The sequence below is a fragment of the Homo sapiens genome, chromosome 1 (assembly GCF_000001405.40).
Source record: "Homo sapiens chromosome 1, GRCh38.p14 Primary Assembly".
Lineage (NCBI taxonomy): Eukaryota > Metazoa > Chordata > Mammalia > Primates > Hominidae > Homo > Homo sapiens.
The window spans coordinates 31,145,162-31,165,442 of NC_000001.11; the positions used below are offsets into that span (position 1 = coordinate 31,145,162).

Sequence of the window (20,281 nt, forward strand, 5' to 3'; positions counted from 1 at the left end):
TGGATCACAAGGTCAGGAGTTCAAGACCAGCCTGACCAACATGGTGAAACCCCGTCTCTACTAAAAATACAAAAATTAACCGGGCATGGTGGTGCACACCTGTAATCCCAGCTACTCAGGAGGCTGAGGCAGGAGAATCACTTGAACCTGGGAGGCAGAGGTTGCAGTGAGCTGAGATTGCGCCATTGCACCATAGCCTGGGAGACAGAGCAAGACTCTGTCTCAAAACAACAACAACAACAACAAAAAATTAGCCGGGCATGATGGTGTGCACCTGTAATTCCAGTTGCTCGGGAGGCTGAGGCACGAGAATCACTTGAACCCAGGAGGCAGAGGTTGCAGTGAGCCCAGATGATGCCATTGCATTCCAGCCTGGGCGACAGAGCAAGACTCTGTCTCAAAAAAAATAAATAAAAAATAAATAAAGGAAAAGAGAAGGCAATTCCTAAGCTGTTTACCAGGAATTTACATGAAAACAACATAAGCTATTGATTGGCTATACATTGTTCTTTGTATCACAAATTCCTGGAACGTGAAGATAATGGGTGAGGTAGCTAGTTATAAACAAAATGCTTTTAAACAATTGCCCCTGGGCATGAGTGGAGAGGCATGACTGAAGTCCCATGCTTATGTCTCTCTGGGCTTGATACATTTTGCATATCTCACTGAGCTCAGGCTGCTCTGTGCATTTTTCTTTTCTCGACTTCAAGGCCTTTAAGGAGGGGAGCAGCCCGATGTCACAAACAGTTTAGGAAGGTCACCCTGGAGGCAGGTCCATATGTGCTGACATGGAAAAACACTCAAGACAGACTCTCAAAGAAAAGAAGCTGGTTGCCAAATGAAACAGAGCTATCCTAGTTATGAAAATACAACCAAACAAAATACAGGTCTGAGTGAAAACACACAGTCAAAGGTCTAAAAGGACATACAGATAACTAATAACACAATTTACCCTCTTGAGGAGCAGAGGACTTGGAATTTGTGAAATTTAACATTGCTTTGTGCTGAATTTTGCTTGGATTTTGCAATGATAGTAAATGCCTGTATTACTTGCCTAATTAAATAAATGACCAAATAAATACATAAATTCTGTTTTAATGAAAGCAAATAAACAAATAGATTGGTTTTTCTTTTTCATTTTTCTTTTGTTTGTTTTTTTTTTTTTGAAACAGGGTTTTGCTCTTGTTGCCCAGGCTGGAGTGCAGTAGCACGATCTCAGCTCATTGCAAACTCTGCCTCCCGGGTTCAAGTGATTCTCCTGCTGTAACCTCCCAAGTAGCTGGAATTACAGGCGTCCACTACCACGCCCAACTAATTTTTTTGTATTTTTAGTAGAGATGGGGTTTCACCATGTTGGCCAGGCTGGTCTTGAACTCCTGAGCTCAGGTGATCCACCTGCCTCAGCCTCCCAAAGTGCTGGGATTACTGGCGTGAGCTGCCACGCCTGGCCCACAGGTTGGTTTTTCAAAAGCAGACCCCAACATGGGAATTCTTGCACGAGTGCTTAATTAAGGAGGGCTCTATGGAGAAACTGGTAAGGCAGTGGGAAAGCAGGAAGGTGAAGGGGAAGAAGACAAACAAGGGTGTGATTTCAGACAAAATTCCCAGAGGGGTGCATTGCCAGCCTGGCGCGACCTGGCAATTCCAGGTTGGGTGGCGGGGCCGGGGGAACTACTGCCTGTCCTGAGGTAAGAGTGCTGGTGTTCATTTCTATTCTGCTCAATCATTGGCCAAAGCATGTCCAGAGGGCAGGACGTGGGGAGGAGGAGAGAGCAAAATTTCCAGGTACTTCCAAGTACTATTGCCAAGACAGGGTAGCTCCAGTAGCTGAACAGTCTTCTGAACAAGGTCCACGTGATCCACTGGAAACTAAGGCACCAGCTCTGAAACTAGGAAACGAGCACACAGAAATGATAAGAAGAGATCCAAGGGAATCTGGATTGAGCATCAACAGTCTCCACTTTGGGAGGCCGAGGCGGGTGGATCACGAGATCAGGAGTTCGAGACCAGCCTGACCAACATGGTGAAACCCCGTCTCTACTAAAAATACAAAAATTGGCCAGGCACGGTGGCACGTGCCTGTAATGCCACCTACTTAGGAGGCTGCAGCAGGAGAATCACTTGAACCCGGGAGGTGGAGATTGCAGTGAGCTGAGATGGCGCCATTGCACTCCAACCTGGGCAACAGAGCGACTCCGTCTCAAAACAAAAAAACAAAAAAAACGGCTACGCCATAGGCAGAGCTGCCACAAGGGCTGCTGGTTGGAAAAAAAAATTAATAGGTAGTATGTTAAATTACCTATTAAGCGGCCAGGCACAGTGGCTCACACCTTTAATCCCAGCACTTTGGGAGGCCGAGGCGAGCGGATCACGAGGTCAAGAGATCAATACCATCCTGGCCCACATAGTGAAACCCCGTGTCTACTAAAAATACAAAAAAATTAACTGGGTGTTGTGGTCCACACCTGTAGTCCCAGTTACTCTGGAAGCTGAGGCAAGAGAATTGCTTAGAACCTGGGAGGCAGAGGTTGCAGTGAGTCGAGATCGCGCCACTGCACTCCAGCCTGGCAACAAAACAAGACTCCGTCTCAAAAAAAAACCTAGCCCTTGTTGCTTTGCCTCAGAAGGACTATGTTTCCAGAGATATTCTATGCCTGTAAAAGTATGTATGAGGCCGGGCACGGTGGCTCACACCTGTAATCCTAGCACTTTGGGAGGCCAGGGCAGGCGGATCACCTGAGGTCGGGAGTTTGAGACCAGCCTGACCAACATGGAGAAACCCCATCTCTACTAAAAATACAAAATTAGCCAGGCATGGTGGCACATGCCTGTAATCCCAGCTACTCGGGAGGCTGAAGAAGGAGAAGAGCTTGAACCCGCGAGGCGGAGGTTGCAGTGAGCCGAGATTGCACCATGCACTCCAGCCTTGGCAACAAGAGAGAAACTCTGTCTGAAAAAAAAAAAAAAAAAAAAAATTATGTGTAGGCTGGTCACAGTGGCTCACGCCTGCAATCCCAGCACTTTGAGAGGTTGGGGCAGGAGAATCACTTGAGCCCAGGAGTTTGAAAACAACCTGGGCAATATAGTGAGATCCCGTCTCCATAAAAAATTTAAAAATTAGTTGGGCCTGGTAGTATCAGCCTTTAGTCCCAGTTACTCAGGAGGCTGAAGTAGGAGGAGAAGTTGAGCCTGGAAAGTCAAGGCTTGAGCCTGGAAAATGAGCTGTGTTTGTGCCACTGCACTCCAGCCTAGGTGACAGAGACATCTTGTCTTAAAAAAAGGAAAGAAAGAAAAGAAAAAAAAAGTATGTACATATTATTTCCTATCTTCTCTAAAAAACAAAACAAACAATAGTAGCATATTATCCATATTGTTTCTTACTTTCCTTATTTCACATCCTGAAGATGGTACCATGGCGATACATTTAGATAATCCTCATTCTTTTCAGTGATTGCATAATATTATATTACATGGATAGGCTTGACTTTATTTAAGCATTCCCTTATTGAAGAACATTTTAATTGTATCCAGTCTGTACTCTAACAAACAAGATTGCAATGAATATTCTTTGTATATCTTTGTGTACATGTACAAGTATATCTGGTAAGCCAGATTTATAGAAGTAGAATTATTTGATCTAAGGTTATATGAAATTAATTTTTTTTGTTTTGAGATGGAGTCTCATTCTGTCGCCCAGGCTGGAGTGCAGTGGCACGATCTCTGCTCACTGCAAACTCTGCCTCCCGGGTTCAAGTGATTCTCCCACCTCAGCCTCCAGAGTAGCTGGGATTACAGGCGTCTGTCAGCACGCCTGGCTAATTTTTGTATTTTTAGTAGAGATGGGGTTTCACCATGTTGGCCAGGCTGATTTCAAATTCCTGATCTCAGGTGATCCTCCTGCCTTGGCCTGCCAAAGTGCTGAGATTACAAGCCTGAGCCACCACACCCGGCCTCACTGGGGTTTTTTTATATTTATCTAGGATGTTCCTCAAACCAGCTTCCCATCTTGAGGTTTCTGAATCTCCTATGATCACAGCTTGTCTTGTCTTTAGGAATTAACTGAAAAAGATGTCCTTTACCTAAAAGCTACATGTGAAACTCCACTCCTAGTTTTACATTTGCAGTCCTTATATCACTATGTTTTCTGCTGGTTCTGATGTAATCTCACTCTTTCTAGAAGTCTCTTTTTTTTTTTTTGAGATGGAATTTCACTCTTGTTGCCCAGGCTGGAGTGCAATGGCACCATCTCCGCTCACTGCAACCTCCGTTTCCCGGGTTCAAGCAATTCTCCTGCCGCAGCCTCCCAAGTAGCTGGGATTACAGGTGCCTGCCACCATGCCTGGCTAATTTTTGTATTTTTAGTAGAGACCAGGTTTCACCACGTTGGCCAGGCTGGTCTTGAACTCCTGACCTCAGGTGATCCACCTGCTTCGGCCTCCCAAAGTGCTGGGATTACAGGCATGAGCCACTGCGCCCAACCCCTAGAAGTCTCTTTTAACTATTATTATTTTTAATTTTAATTTTTAAAAATTATAAATAGAGATGGGGTCTCCCTGTGTTGCACAGGCTGATTTTGAACTCCTAGTCGCAAGTGATCCTCCTGCCTTGGTCTCCCAAAACCCTGGGATTATGGGCAAGAGCCACAGCATCTGGCTGTAAGCATAATATTTGAGAATATATATTATAGATGAATACTCCAGCTAACCTAGTGGATATAATCTGGAAACACCCATGATTACCCACTTAAAGATCAAAATATCAGGCTGGGTGCAGTGGCTCACGCCTGTAATCCCAGCACTTTGGGAGGCCGAGACGGGTGGATCATCTGAGGTTGGGAGTTTAAGACCAGCCTGACCAACATGGAGAAACCCTGTCTCTACTAAACATACAAAATTAGCCGGGTGTGGTGGCACATGCCTGTAATCCCAGCTACTTGGGAGGCTGAGGCAGGGGTATCACCTGAACCCAGGAGGCGGAGGTTGCAGTGAGCTGAGATCATGCCATTGCACTCCAGCCTGGGCAACAAGAGGGAAACTACGTCTAACAAAACAAACAAAAAAACAAACAAAAAGGCTGGGCGCAGTGGCTCACACCTGTAATCCTACCACTTTGGGAGGCCCAGGTGGGCAGATCACAAGGTCAGGAGTTCGAGACCAGACTGGCCAAGATGGCGAAACCCTGTCTCTACTAAAAAGACAAAGATTAGCCAGGCGTGGTGGTGTGCGCCTGTAGTCCCAGCTACGCTGGAGGCTGAGGCAGAGAATCGCTTGAACCTGGGAGGCAGAGGTTGCAGTGAGCCGAGATCGCACCACTGTACTCCAGCCTGGGTGACAAAACGAGACTCTGTCTCAAAAAAAAAAATCAAAGTATCATATGCCCTGTGCTTTTTAGTTGTTAGTGTTATGAAGGCAAAAATACCTTCTACATTGGTGGTGGTTCCTATTTTACTGGGCACCAATGCATGTATACTGTGTTCTAGAAATAGCCTAAAAAGTATCCTGTGTTTTTTCTGAGACAGGGTCTCACTGTGATGGACAGGCTGGAGTGCAGTGGCACCATCTCTGCTCACTGCAGCCTTGAACTTTTGGGCTCAAGCAATCCTCCTACCTTAGTAAGTAGGGGGTAGTAAGAAGCTTCACTGGTCATCTCTCTGCTTTGGTTTAAGACAACATTTGGTAGAATGTTACTTACCAGAAAACATGTATGTCACATCTCTAGGAAGAAGAAAAAACATAGTAGTTCAATTCCCACTGCGTACCTTTGAATTTTTTTTTTTTTTTGAGATAGGGTCTCTCTCTTTTGCCCAGGCTAGAGTGCAGTGGCATGATCTCGGCTCACTGCAACCTCCGTCTCCTGGGTTCAAGTGATTCTCCTGCCTCAGCCTCCCGAGTGGCTGGGATTGCAGGCGTCTGCCACCATGCCCAGCTAATTTTTTTTTTTCAGTAGAGACGGGTTTTTGCCATGTTGGCCAGGCTGGTTTGGAACTCCTGACCTCAGGTGATTTGCCCGTCTTGGCCTCTGAAAGTGCTGGGATTACAGGCGTGAGCCACTGCTCCTGGGCTGATGTCTTTTTTAAAGTAAAAATAAGAAGCTGTACTGACTTTTCACTTGGCTATTCTGGTTTTAAAGGATGAGCTACAAGCTATGTGTTTTCCTGTATTGATATGTCACTGAAATACTTTTTGACCAGTGCAGTAGTTCACACCTGTAATCCCAGCACTTCGAGAGGCAGAGATAGGAGAGTTGAAGACCAACCTGAATAATGTATCAAGTCCCTATCTCTACAAAAAAATTTTTAAAAATTAGCTGAGCATGGTGACACGTACCCATGGTCTCAGCCACTCAGGAGGCTGAGGCAGTAGAATCCCTTGAGCCTAAGAGGTTGAGGTTGCAGTAGTGAGCAATGACTGTGTCACTGCACTCCAGCCTGAGTGACAAAGCAAGACTTGGTCGCAAAAAAAATTTAATCAGATCATTGACTCTTCTGCTCAAATTCTTCTAATAGCTTCTCAAGGTAAACTCCAGGCTGGGTGCCGTGGCTCACTCCTGTAATCCCAGCACTTTGGGAGGCCAAGGCAGGTGGATCACTTGAGGTCAGGAGTTTGAGACCAGCCTGGCCAACATGGTGAAACCCTGTCTCTACTAAAAATATAAAAATTAGCCGGGCGTGGTGGCAGGCACCTGTAATCCTAGCTGCTCGGGCTCAATTGCTTGAGCCCAGGTTGCAGTGAGCTTGCAACTTTGCTTGCAAGTGAGCTACAAGGTGAAGGTTGCTGTGAGCTGAGATCGCGTCACTGCACTCCAGCCTGGGTGACAGAGCAAGACTCTGTCTCAAAAAAAAAAAAAAAAAAAGGTAAACTCCAAATCCTTCCCATGATCCTTGAGGATCTTCCTTGAGGCCCCTCAAAATCTGGCCTCTCTAGGATTTTAAGACCAGTCTGGCCACCATGGCAAAACCCCGTTTCTACTAAAAATACAAAAACTACCTGGGCATGGTGGCACATGCCTGTAATCCCAGCTACTCGGGAGACTGAGGCAGGAGAAACGCTTGAACCCAGGAGGCGGAGGTTGCAGTGAGCTGAGATCGCGCCACTGCAAGCCAGCGTGGGGAACAGAGCAAGACTCTGTCTGAAAAAAAAAAAAGATCTGGCCTCTGCCTGCCCCTGAACTCATCCTCTCATCCTCTACCTCTCTCCTTTTTCCCTGTACTGCAGTGGCCTTCTTCCTGTTCTTCCTAATACCAGGGATGTTCCCTCCATCACTTCATTAATAGCTCGATTCCCCTTGACCTCATTTCTCCTAGTCTTTCATCACCACAATTGCAAGTCCTGCAGGAAAAAGAGCTTTCTTGCCCAACAAGACAGGGCTGGCTTTCATTGGCCCAAATTGGGTGGGCACATCCCTGAACCAATCACAGTTGTCAAGGGGCTGAGATGCTCTGATTAGTTGGGGTTGAGTCACATGCCCTGAAGCTGATGGAGGTGTGGACTGAGTGGAGGAGGACAATTTCCCAGAGAAAAATTCGTGTCCTGTTACTAGAAGGGTGAAGTAATGCTGGGCAGCAGAAGTAACAGATGTTTATTTTCAAAGTTTGCATAGCACTTAACATATAGATGTTGTTTTCAAAAAGCCAGCTTGCACTGCATGCAGGAACACCCCGAGAGCTCCTTCATCAACATTCATTCATTTTACAACTTTGTATTTTTTTTTTTTTGAAACAGAGTCTTGCTCTGTCGCCAGGCTGGAGTGCAGTGGCACGATCTCAGCTCACCACAACCTCTGACTCCCTAGTTCAAGCGATCCTCCTGCCTCAGCCTCCGGAGTAGCTGGGATTACAGGCACACACCACCACGCCCAGCTAATTTTTGTATTTTTAGTAGAGATGGGGTTTCATAATGTTGGCCAGGCTCATCTCAATCTCCTGACCTCGTGATCCACCCACCTCGGCCTCCTAAAGTGCTGGGATTACAGGTGTGAGCCACCGCACCCGGCCACAACTTTGTATTGATATCACTCAGTTCCATACTTAGTCCCAAAGGAATCTGCTACTCTCTTGAATCAAAATGTGATAATGTAATAGATTATGCGACTTGTCTAGAAGAATAGTGCTGGGCATTCATTCACCAATATTTATTAGGCTTTTACTAGCTTTAGAAAGGAGCTGAGATGACAGCTATCATCACCATAGGCAGTCCCTCTCCTCCTGGGGCTTATATTCTAGTGGAAAAAAGACAGATAGTCAAAAAGAAATGTCAGTGTAAATGGAGACACAAGCCACTCATGAAACATACTTTTCAGGGAGAAAAATTAAACAGACTAATAGGCTTTTGTACCTTTAGAACTGAATACTTGTATTACTCATTTTTAAAAAGTAATGTCATAATGAGATACACTACACCCATTCCAATGGCTAAAAGTAAAATGTTTGGCAATGTCAAATGCTCAAGAGGATGTGGAGCAACTGGAATGCTTATAACTGCTGGTGAGAATGGAAAATGGGGCTGGGCAAAGAGTCTCAAGCTAGTAATCCCAGTACTTTGGGAGGCTGAGGCGGGAGGATGGCTTGAGCACGGGAGGTCGAGGCTGCTGAGCTATGATCACTATGATCACACCACTGCACTCCAGCCTGGGTGACAGAGTGAGGCCTTGTCTCAAAAAAAAAAAAAAAAAACAAAAAAAAAAAACCGCATGTAAAGAATGGAATGTAAAAGGATATAACTATATAACTTGAGAGGACTGTTTGGCAGTTTCTTTTTTTCTTTCTTTTCTTTTTTTTTTTTTGTGAGACAGAGTCTTGCTCTGTCGTCCAGGCTGGAGTGCAATGGCCCAATCTCGGCTCATTGCAACCTCCGTCTCCTGGATTCAAGTGATTCTCCTGTCTCAGCCTCCTGAGTAGCTGGGATTAGAGGTACGCACCACCAGGCCCGGCTAATTTTTGTATTTTTAGTAAAGATGGGGTTTCGCCATGTTGGCCAGGCTGGTCTCAAAACTCCTGACCTCAGGTGATCTGCCCGCCTCGGCCTCCCGAAGTGCTGGGATTACAGGCGCGAGCCACCGCGCCCTGCCAAGTTGTGTGTATTTCGCTGAATGCAAATTAAGTCTCAATTAAAAAAAAAGTAACTGCAAATATTTTAATAGACGTTACAGCATGCTATGGAAATATGCCAGAGGGTGACTCCATGAGGGTGTGCCCCAGAAATCAGGGAAAGTCTTTACTAAGAAAGTGAGATTTCAAAGATTTGGGAGGACTACAAATTGCCCATACAAAGCGGGATGGGGGAGTAGGGTGAACTCAATACAAAAATGTTAGCTTCTTTCGGTGAAGGTCTTCCAAACGCAAGTATCTAACATTCACCTTATGCCTGCAGATACTCTACATTTGTGTTTTGGCATTTAATTTAATTTCACAGCGATCATTCGACGTCAGAATTTTGGTTCCCATTCTACAAGTGAGAAAATTGAGGTTCAGGGAGGTCAAAGGACCCGTTGAAGGCCATGAAGTAGGATGCGCCAGAAGCCAGGCTTGAGAGCTGCATACTCGGCGAGAGTTTCTCCAAGGCAAAGCCTGAAACAGGAACCACAGGCTCTCCAGGTGGGGAGGCTGGCGCTGAGGAATGTTCTCCTGAACAAAGGGCTCGGCTCGCGCGCCCGCACACCCGCCTCCCCCGGCGCCGGCCTTGGTCTCCAGAGACAGTGGGGTGGGGGGTGGAGACGCCCAGGTATGGCTCTCCTCCGTGGAATCAGCGATCCCAGGACCGAGGCCGGTTGACTCCGGAACAAAGAGAGTCCTTGGGGCGGGGGCGGGGGCGGGGCCCGATCCGGGGACCGGAGGGAGCGGGGGGGAGGGCGGGGCCGGAGTCGAGGGAGGGGCGGAGCCCGGGCCGGGGGACGAGGGCGGGGAGCGGCCGGGCCCTGGGCGGGGCAGGGCGAGGCTGGATCTTCGGAACGAGTCCGTGAAGGATCGGGCGCGGGCGCGGGCGCGGGGCCGGAGGTGGGGACGAGGGGAGTTGGGAAGGGGCTGGGGGTGTGGGGGTTGGGGGTGTGGGGGTCTGGCGGGACTTATCTGGGGGAGGCTAAAGTGGGTGCTGGAGGCGGGACCCGAGTCCCGGGAGAGGCGGGCGGGGAGTCGCCGCTAGAGCGGGGCCCTTTTGGGGGCTGGAGACCCGGAAGCTTAGAGGGCCCCCTGGCCCCGGAGAGGGGGAGGGCGCAGGGCAGGAATGGAGGCGAGGCCTGGCCTCAGGAGCCGGGGGCGGCGGGTTCAGGGCGCGATCCTCTCTGGGGGAATCCGCGGGTGGCCCGGGAGAGGCCGGGAGGGGGCGCAGAGGGCGGCGCCGGGGCCACGTGGAGTCTGCGCGCCCCACCCGCTTTGGGCCGCGCTCCACCCGCTTTGGGCCGCGCCCCACTATCCCTGAGCGCCGCACTGTTGGCCCCGCCACACGTCTGTCCTGAGAACCCGCAGGTCCCAGGCTGTGCGGCACCCCGCCGAGCCCTGGAGCAAGTCCTTCCCTGCGTGGGTCTTGTTTCCGCTTCTGTGAAATGACGATGGCCCTTCTTGTTTTGCAGGGCCCTGGGAGAGTGGGTTGAGAGAATGGAAGTGAAGAGGAAGGCTTCACCATCACCTTAACTAACATGTGTTTCCTACCGTTAAATAAACATTATAGGAGGCCACTGTTTTGGACTAAGTTTCTGCACCAGGCCCCAGCCGACCAGACTAAAAATCAAAAGAGTCACCCATGCTAAAGTTCCACATTACCAAATGGAAACTGAGTTGCCATCTAACCTGGGGAGAAATCAAGAGACAACAGCCAATTTCCCAAACAGGCCGGTTTAAATCCTCAATCAACATCACATTTCCCTGCTTTAATCCTACGCAAAAAAAGGCGGCTTGAAAGAACCTGATAGTAACCACTTGGTTATTATTCTATTGGTCTGTCCTGCCTTACAAGAAAAGTAAAAGTAACTTTGAAAAATAACTATATACTCTTTTTTTTTTTTTTGAGATAGAGTCTCGCTCTGTCGCCCAGACTGGAGTGCAGTGGTGCAATCTCGGCTCACTGCAACCTCTGCTTCCCGGGTTCAAGCGATTCTCCTGCCTCAGCCTCCCAAGTAAGTGGGATCACAGGCGCACACCACCATGCCCAGCTAATTTTTTTTTTTTTTTTAAGTAGAGACAGGGTTTCACCATTTTGGCCAGGCTGGTCTCGAACTCCTGAGCTCAAGTGGTCCACCGGCTTAGAACTCACAAGGTGCTAAGATTACGGGCATAACCCACTGTGTCTGGCCTTTTTTAAAAATTTTTCTTTTTTCTAAGGTACAGGGTCTAGCTTTGTCACCCAGGCTGGAGTGCAGTGGCATAGTGGCATAAACCCAGCTCACTGAAGCTTTGACTTCCTGGGCTCAAGCGATCCTCCTGCCTCAGCCTCCTGAGTACCTGGGACCACAGGTGGACACCTCCACGCTCTGCTTATTTTTAATTTTTTTTTTTTTATTTGAGATGGAGTCTTGCGCCATCTCGGCTCACTGCAACGTCCGCCTCCTGGGTTCAAGCAATTCTCCTGTCTCAGCCTCCCGAGTAGTTGGGATTACAGGCATATGCCACCACGCCTGGCTAATTTTTTTGTATTTTTAATAGAGACAGGGTTTTGCCATGTTGGCCAGGCTGGTCTCGAACTCCTGACCTCAAGTGATCGCCTGCCTTGGCCTCCCAAAGTGCTAGGATTACAAGTGTGAGCCACTGCACCTGGCCTTTTTTTTTTTTGAGATGGAGTCTCACTCTGTTGCCTAGGCTGGAGTTGGAGTGCAGTGGTGCTACCTAGCTCACTGCAACCTCTTGTCTCCCAGGTTCAAGCGATTCTTGTGCCTCATCCTCCTGAGTAGCTGGGATAACAGGCGTGCACCACATGCCCTGCTAATTTTTGTATTTTTAGTAGAGACACAGTCTCTTCATGTTGGCCAGGCTGGTCTCGAACTCCTGACCTCAAGTGATCCACCTGCCTCAGCCTCCCAAAGTGCTGGGATTACAAGCGTGAGCCACTGCACCTGGCCGTTAAAAAAAAAAAAAAAATTCCACCACACCCGGATAATTTTTGATTTTTTTTTTTTTGAGACAGAGTCTCGCTCTGTCCCCAGGCTGGAGTGCAGTGGTGCCATCTTGGCTCCCTGCAAGTTCCACCTCCCGGGTTCACGCCATTCTCCTGCCTCCGTCTCCCGAGTAGCTGGGACTACAGGTGCCTGCCACCACACCCAGCTAATTTTTTGTATTTTTAGTAGGGATGGGGTTTCACCATGTTAGCCAGGGTGGTCTTGATCTCCTGACCTCATGATCCACCCACCTCGGCCTCCCAAAGTGCTGGGATTACAGGTGTGAGCCACCATGCCTGGCCTAATTTTTGAATTTTTGGTAAAGACAGGGTTTCACCATCTTGGCCAGGCTGGTCTGGAACTCCTCACCTCAGGTGGTCCGCTCACCTCGGCCTCCAGGGAACCACCTCACCTGGCCCATTTTTTAAATTTTTGTAGAGACGGGGTATCACCATGTTGGCCAGGCTGGCCTGAAACTCCTGGCCCAAGGGATCCTCCCATCCCAGCCTCCTGAATCACTGGGATTACAGGTGTGATCCAGGGCTCTGGGCCTAATATACTCTTTATTCTTTGCCAATGCTTTCTTTAACCCTTCTGTGTCTATAAAGCCAAGCTCTTCTGCTCAGATCATTGACATACTTATTCTATTTTATAGAATGAGGTGCTGCCCAATTGTGGAATCGCAAATAAAGCCAACTGATATTTTTATACTAAATTTCTCATAATTTTGTCTTGGCCGGGTGCGGTGGCTCACGCCTGTAATCCCAACACTTTGGGAGGCGGATCACCTGAGGTCAGGAGTTCAAGACCAGCTTGGCCAACATGGTGAAACACCCACTCTGCTAGGTCATGTGCTGAGGAATACAGTGAACAAGTTACAGTTCCTACACAAATAAGCTTGCAGGCTGGTTGAAAGACTGAACAATTAACAATATGAATCGTTATTCAATTAAAATTGTGATATGTGGCTGGGCACGGTGGCTCATGCCTGTAATCCCAGCACTCTGGGAGGCAGAGGCGGGCAAATCACAAGGTCAGGAGCTTGAGACCAGCCTGGCCAACATGGCGAAACCCCGTCTCTACTAAAAAAATACAAAAAATTAGCTGGGCATAGTGGTGGGTGCCTGTAATCCCAGCTACTCGGGAGGCTGAGGCAGGAGAATCGCTTGAACCTGGGGGGCGGAGGTTGCAGTGAGCTGAGTTCGTGCCACTGCATTCCAGCCTGGGTGACAGAGTGAGACTCTGTCTAAAAAAAAATTATCATATGCACCTTAGTGGAGAAGTACAGGGAACTACAGGAGCAGTGTTTTCTGAGCAGCCAGTGCTTATTATTATGTGCCAGGTTCTATGCTAAACCATTTAAGATTTGGCTGTGGTCTCCAGTCCACCTAAGATCTAGATCAGACTTATTTCAAACATTGTATCAACCAGGATTCTAGCAGTTGCAAGTAACAGAAACATAACACAGGCCTGTTGTAGTAAATTTCCCTGTAATTCCAGGCTTTGGGAGGCCTACAGGGATAGCTTGAGCCCAGGAGTTTAAGAAGCAGCCTGGGCAACATAGCGAGACCCCTCATCTCTGCCAAAAAAAAAAAAAAGCCAGGGTGAGGGGTGACATTACATGCCTGTAGTCCCAGCTACTGGGAGGCTGAGGTGAGAGGATTGGAGCAGGGAGGGGAAGATTTACTGACAAACTCTGGAAGTATGTTTTTGTTTGTTTGTTTGTTTGTTTGTTTGAGACAGAGCCTCACTCTGTCACCCAGGCTGGAGTGCGGTGGCCCGATCTCGGCTCACTGCAAGCTCTGTCTCCCGGGTTCACACCATTCTCCTGCCTCAGCCTCCCGAGTAGCTGGGACTACAGGTGCCTGCCACCATGCCTGGCTAATGTTTTGTATTTTTAGTAGAGACGGGGTTTCACCATGTTAGCCAGGGGTCTCGATCTCCTGACCTCGTGATCCACCCATCTCGGCCTCCCAAAGTGCTGGGATTACAGACATGAGCCACCGTGCCTGGCCGGAAGTATGTTTTGAAGTATGTTAAGTATGGCTGGATCCCAGGGGCTCAAGAGAAGGTTTCACAGCTCCATGTCTCTCGTTATCCCTCAATTCTCTCTTACAGGCAGCCAAGCAAGATGGCTACTAGCCGTTCTAGGGCCAGGTGCAGTGGTTCACACCTGTAAATCCTAGCACTTTGGGAGGCTAAGGGGGGGGGGGATCACTTGAGGCTGAGAGTTTGAAATCAGCCTGGGCAACATAGCAAGACCCCATTTCTACAAAAGATAATAAGAAAAAAATTAGTTGAGCATGATGGTTTGCACTTGTAGTTCCAGCTGCTCAGGAGATTAAGGTGAGAGGATCCCTCCTTGAGCCCAGGAATTCAAGGCTACAGTGAGCTATGATTGTGCCACTGCACTCTACCCTGGGCAATAGAGTGAGACCCTGTCTCAAAAAAAAAAAAAAAAAGAAAGAAAGAAAGAAAAGAAAACAGAAAGATGACTGTGGCTACAAGCAGTTTTAGGCTTTCATTGACTTTATAGCTCTGGGTCCCTGAAGAGAGAGTGTACTTCCCAACGGCTCCAGCATTAAAAAAGCAGTCTTGGGGACTATGTCTCCTAAATTCCTTGAAGCTGTCCTGAGCCCTTGCACAGCTAAACCCAAGTCCTGAGCCCTGTGCAGGCCATGGCACAGCAGCAGTGCAGGCTACACGTTAAATTCTGGGGAATGGGAGTGCTTATCGTGGTGGAGGCTTGGAGATGCCTCATAAAGGCAAAGGCCGCAGGGAGATAAGCAGATCACATGGTAGAGAGAAGGCAGAAGGAAATAGTGGCTGTTTCTCAGGCCAGGCTCTGTCGGTGGGATAGGCCATCCCAAGTGGGCAGACGAGTGCTGCAGAGGCAAATGGAGAGAGGCTGGAGCTGGCAAAATAGTCTAAGCAGCCTCCAGAGATGCCCCAGGCTGGAGAAACCTCTGTAAGCCCCATTGGGAGTCAGAGCCCAGACTCAAGTCCCTCTAGGCCTGCTCTAGGGTATGGTCTGATAAGGGGGTCTCAGGCCATCCAAAATATAATAAGAGGTCTTCCCATGTGCACAACTGTTTACAATTTTCAAAGCTCTTACCCTTACCCTCTATGACTCTGAGGTACACATTATTCGGGCCATTTTACAGGTGGGAGTATTGAGGCTAAGAATATCAGGCTAACCTGCCTAAAGTGAGCCATTCGGCAGAGACAAAACTCAGCATCCGGGTCACTCCCAGGGCTCTAGCCCATCCCCACTCCTTCCATCTCCCCACTGACCTTTCCCTAACCTAAACTCTCCTGGAGCCTTGAAACCTCCCGATCCCCATCCATGGTAATCCAGGAGCTGTTAATTTTTTTTTTTTTTTTTTTGAGACAGAGTCTCATTGCTGGAGTGCAGTGGCACGACCTTGGCTCACTGCAACCTCCGCCTCCTGGGTTCAAGCGATTCTCTTGCCTTAGCCTCCTGAGTAGTTGGGATTACAGGCATGCGCCACCATGCCCGGCTCGCCCGGCTAATTTTTGTATTTTTAGTAGAGATGGGGTTGCACCATGTTGGCCAGGCTGGTCATGAACTCCTGACCTCAAGTGATCTAACCACCCTGGCCTCCCAAAGTGCTGGGATTACAGGTGTGAGCCACTGCGCCTGGCTGAGCTGTTACCTTTCAAGAGGAGGTAAGGGACTTGAGAAGGTCAAAGATTTGGAGGTAGTCTGGAGGCAAATCCTACTGTATCACACTCTGGCTCTGGGCGGGAAAAAAGGACATTCATGTCCCCAAGTTTTTCCTCTTCCTTCCTCAGCCCCTTCCACAAACTCAAGGCCTTATGCCCCACCATTAAGATGGTCTTCAATTCAGGCATTGTTAAAGCACAAATGCCGGGCCGGACGCGGTGGCTCATGCCTGTAATCCCAGCACTTTGGGAGCCTGAGGTGGGCGCATCATGAGGTCCAGAGATCAAGACCAGCCTGGCCAACATGGTGTAAACCCCATCTCTACTGAAAATACAAAAATTAGCTGGGCGTGGTGGCACATGCCTGTAGTCCCAGCTACTCAGGAGGCTGAGGCAGGAGAATCGCGTGAACCCGGGAGGCGGAGGTTGCAGTGAGCCGAGATTGCATCACTGCACTCCAGCCTGGGCGACAGAGTGAGACTCCGTCTCAAAAAAAAAAACAAACAACAATGAAGAAACCCCACAAATGCCTGGATGCTAGAGAAAGGGAATTTTACATCTATTACCTGCTGTGATCCTCCTAGAACCTTGCCTGGTGAGGCAGTTTGCAAATGAAGTAATTGAGCTTCTGAGAAATTACGAGTTGCCCAAGATTACCCAGTTAGCAATTGGCAGAGCTGGGATATGAACTCCCCCTGGTCTAGTCCAAAGCCCATGACCTTTCAGGGGCCAAGACCAAAAATGGAGAGGGAGACGGCGGGCTCTGGTTAGGCAGAAGGATGATCACACATGCAGGAGGACTTGAACTTCCTGGGGCCGGAGGGGTGCGCAGGGGAGGTGCTGGGGATGAGGTTGGGGCCAGTCAACTGGCAGGGAGGGATAGTTTCCTCCCAGTCTAGATGCCTGGTCCAAAACAGACAAACTGCATGTTTTGTCTCTACAAAAACTACAAAAATTAGCTGGGCAGCCGGATGTGGTGGCTCATGCCTGTGATCTTGTAATCTCAGCACTTTGGGAGGCCAAGTCAAGTGGATTGTTTGAGCTCAGGAGTTCGAGACTAGACTGGGCAACATGGCAAGACCTTGCTGCTGCTAAAAATACAAAAACAAAAAAACAAAGCAAAAAAAAAACCGGGTGTGGTGGTGTGTGTCTGTGGTCCCAGCTACTCAGGAAGCTAAGATGGGAGGATTGCTTGAGCCTGGGGGAGGTCGAGGCTACAGTGAGCTGTGGTCATGCCGCTGCACTTTAGTCTGGGTGATATAGTGAGACCCTGTCTCAAAGAAAAAAACAAAAAGTCCGGGCGTGGTGGCTCACTCCTGTAATCCCAGCACTTTGGGAGGCTGAGGCAGGTGAATCACGAGGTCAGGAGTTTGAGACCAGCCTGGCCAATGTGGTGAAACCCTGTCTCTACTAAAAATACAAAAAAATTAGCTGGGCATAATGGCGGGCGCCTGTAATCCCAGCTACTTGAGAGGCTGAGGCAGGAGAATCGCTTGAACCCGGGAGGCGGAGGTTGCAGTGAGCTGAGATTGCACCACTGCATTCCAGCCCAGCTGATAGCGTGAAATTCCTTCTAAAAAAAAAAAAGTCTGGGCACGGTGGCTCACACCTGTAATCCCAGCACTTTGGGAGGCCGAGGTGGGCAGATCACCTGAGGGCAGGAGTTCGAGGCCAGCCTGGCCAACATGGTGAAACCCTGTCTCTACTAACAACACAAAAATTAGCTGGGTGTGGTGGCAGGCGCCTATAATCCCAGCTACTCAGGAGGCTGAGGCAGAAGAACCTCTTGAACCTGGGAGGCGGAGGTTGCAGTGAGCCGAGATTGCGCCACTGCATTCCAGCCTGGGCAACAAGAGCGAAACTCCGTTTTGGAAAACAAAACAAAACAAAAGTCTAGGGGCAGCGGAGATATAGCGCCAGCCAGCAGGTGTCGCTGTGACACCCATTCTCTTTGGTGTTCTGATGGAAAGAGCAGAGTGAGATATTTGAGTCGGATTAAGATTGTGTAGACAGGGAAGAGATAGCGATGGTAAACACGGGCCATACCTCTGCTGGAGATAGTAGGGAGGTTGAACAATATCACTTAGGAAAAATGCCCAGCCAGATGCTCAACAAACGGGTTATTTTCTAGGAAATTTACCACCTGTGTCATTTTTCTTTTGTGTGTGTGTGTGTGTGTGTGTGTGTGTGTGTGTGTGTGTGTGTGTCATTTTTCTTTTCTCACTGAGACAGGATCTCACTTAGTTGCCCAGGCCGGAATGCAGTGGCACGATCACAGCTCACCGCAGCCTCGACTTTCCCGGGCTCAGGTGATCCTCCCACCTTAGGCTCCCCAAAAGCTGAAATTACGGGCAGGCGCTAATTTTTGTATTTTTGTAGAGATAGGTTTTTGCAATGTTGCCTAGGCAAGTCTCAAGTTCCTGGGCTCAAGTGATCTCCTGCCTCAGCCTCCCAAAATGCTGAGATTAAAACCGTGCCTGGCCTTATTTTTCTTAATTTCTCTGTGCCTCCGTTTCCTCATCTATAAAATAGGATGCTGTGAAGATTCAGAGAGTTAATGTCCATCTGGCATGTTGTAAGGACTTGGTAAGGGTTTAATGTTGATTATTTTCCTCCTGTCAGCAACAATCTGCCTTGCTGGGCTCCCAGAGTTTTATTCCCCCCACCTGTGTAGACCTCTTGTCACACCAAGGACTCTCTCTGGACACAAGGGCAGGATACTGAGGGGGACAGAGATGCATTCAGGGTGTGTTCGCTCTGGAGGGTGAGAGGGTTTGAAAGTCAGTGTCGACCGGGCGTGGCGGCTACACCTGTAATCCCAGAACTTTGGGAAGCCTAGGCGAGTGGATTGCCTGAGGTCAGGAGTTTGAGACCAGCTTGGCCAACATGGTGAAACCCCGTCTCTACTAAAAATGCAACAGTTAGCCGGGTGTGGTGGCATGCGCCTGTCGTCCCAGCTGCTTGGGAGGATGAGGCAGGAGAATTGCTTGAACTTGGGAGATGGAGGTTGCAGTGAGCTGAGATGGCGCCACTGCACTCCAGCCTGGGCAACAAAGCAAGACTACGTCTCAAAAAAAAAAAAAAAAAAGCTGGTGTCCATCGGCAGGTGACGTCATTGCTCAAAACTCAGTTTTCCTGTCTGTGAAATGGATATCAGTGAAAGAGCCAGCGGCGAATGTGAAACTCCAGCCTAGTGTCTGGCACAGAGTGGGCATTCAAATAGCAGTAGCTGCAGGGCTTGTTGGCACTGGTGTTGGGGGCTTGGGACCCCTGCTGTCTCGTCACAGATCACCAACCAAGCTGTGGTTATTTTATTTTATTTTATTATTTTTTGAGACAGGGTCTCACCCCAGTTGCCCAGGCTGGAGTGCAGTGGCACCACCTCAGCTCACTTCAGCCTCAACCTCCCGGGCTTAGGTGATTCTCCCACCTCAGCCTCCTGAGTAGCTCCGACTACAGGGATGTGCCACCACACCCAGCTAATTTTTTGGTATTTTTTCAGAGAGACAGGGTTTCACCATGTTGCCCAGGCTGGTCTTGAATTCCTGGACTTAAGCAATCTGACCGCCTTAGCCTCCCAAAGTGCTGGGATTACAGGTGTGAGTCACCCCCACCCCTCCACCCCCAGCCCAAGCTGTGTTTTTTTTTTTTTTGAGAGAGAGTTTCGCTCATGTTGCCCAGGCTGGAGTGCAATGCCATGATCTTGGCTCACTGAAACCTCCACCTCTTGAGTTCAAGCGATTCTTGTGCCTCAGCCTCCCAAGTAGCTGGGATTATAGGTATCTGCCACCATGCCCAGCTAATTTTTGTATTTTTAGTAGAGACAGGGTTTCGCCATGTTGGAGAGGCTGGTCTTGAACTCCTGGCCTCAGGTGATCCACCCACCTCAGCCTCTCAAAGTGCTGGGATTACAGGCATGAGCCACTGTGCCCGGCCACTAAAGCTCTGATTCTTTTTTTTTTTTTTGAGACAGAGTCTCACTGTCTCCCAGGCTGGAGTGCAGTGGCATGATCTCAGCTCACTGCAACCTCCACCTCCCAGGTTCAAGCAATTCTCCTGCCTCAGCCTCTGGAGTAGCTGGGACTACAGGTGCCCCCCACCATGCCCAGCTAATTTTTTGTATTTTTAGTGGAGACAGGGTTTCACCGTGTTAGCCAGGATGGTCTCGATCTCCTGACCTCGTGATCTACCCACCTCAGCCTCCCAAAGTACTGGGATTACAAGCGTGAGCCACCACACCCAGCCAAAGCTGTGGTTCTTAATCTAATATTTGGTAACCTGTGATGGCAGACTGGGGTCCTCATGCCAGTGTGATGTTTCTGAAATCCAGAGAACCATCCCATAGTTAAATGGGAAGAGGTTGCTCAGGCCCACAGAAGAATCTCTGTTGGGGGCTATCATCAGCTCTCTAGGATGTCACATAGTGTGTCCTGCCCAGCAGAGCTGCTGGGACAGCTGTTGTTGGCAAATGGAAAACTAATTAACTCTTAACCAATACTCTGTTTTTAAAAAT

The 20,281-nt window shown here is 48.9% G+C and overlaps 1 long non-coding RNA gene across 1 annotated transcript, besides 6 other annotated features; it reads left to right on the top strand.

The window, feature by feature from the left end:
• Positions 8,478 to 9,115: an enhancer, noted in NCBI's record as "H3K27ac-H3K4me1 hESC enhancer chr1:31626486-31627123 (GRCh37/hg19 assembly coordinates)". NCBI's record gives its function as "activates a minimal SCP1, AML or CMV promoter by ChIP-STARR-seq in primed H9 embryonic stem cells {active_cell/tissue: H9 hESC(primed)}" and the evidence as "EXISTENCE:reporter gene assay evidence [ECO:0000049][PMID:30033119]".
• Positions 9,116 to 9,752: an enhancer, noted in NCBI's record as "H3K27ac-H3K4me1 hESC enhancer chr1:31627124-31627760 (GRCh37/hg19 assembly coordinates)". NCBI's record gives its function as "activates a minimal SCP1, AML or CMV promoter by ChIP-STARR-seq in primed H9 embryonic stem cells {active_cell/tissue: H9 hESC(primed)}" and the evidence as "EXISTENCE:reporter gene assay evidence [ECO:0000049][PMID:30033119]".
• Positions 9,840 to 10,429: a silencer, noted in NCBI's record as "silent region_565". NCBI's record gives its function as "represses an Ori minimal core promoter by ATAC-STARR-seq in GM12878 lymphoblastoid cells {active_cell/tissue: GM12878}" and the evidence as "EXISTENCE:reporter gene assay evidence [ECO:0000049][PMID:35858748]".
• On the top strand, positions 9,885 to 10,973 carry LOC107984935 (uncharacterized). Its single transcript, XR_001737961.2, has 2 exons — positions 9,885 to 9,991; positions 10,564 to 10,973. It is a non-coding gene; the product is annotated as an uncharacterized LOC107984935 (long non-coding RNA).
• Positions 10,390 to 11,025: an enhancer, noted in NCBI's record as "H3K27ac hESC enhancer chr1:31628398-31629033 (GRCh37/hg19 assembly coordinates)". NCBI's record gives its function as "activates a minimal SCP1, AML or CMV promoter by ChIP-STARR-seq in primed H9 embryonic stem cells {active_cell/tissue: H9 hESC(primed)}" and the evidence as "EXISTENCE:reporter gene assay evidence [ECO:0000049][PMID:30033119]".
• Positions 10,600 to 10,689: an enhancer, noted in NCBI's record as "active region_639". NCBI's record gives its function as "activates an Ori minimal core promoter by ATAC-STARR-seq in GM12878 lymphoblastoid cells {active_cell/tissue: GM12878}" and the evidence as "EXISTENCE:reporter gene assay evidence [ECO:0000049][PMID:35858748]".
• Positions 18,651 to 19,150: an enhancer, noted in NCBI's record as "H3K4me1 hESC enhancer chr1:31636659-31637158 (GRCh37/hg19 assembly coordinates)". NCBI's record gives its function as "activates a minimal SCP1, AML or CMV promoter by ChIP-STARR-seq in naive H9 embryonic stem cells {active_cell/tissue: H9 hESC(naive)}" and the evidence as "EXISTENCE:reporter gene assay evidence [ECO:0000049][PMID:30033119]".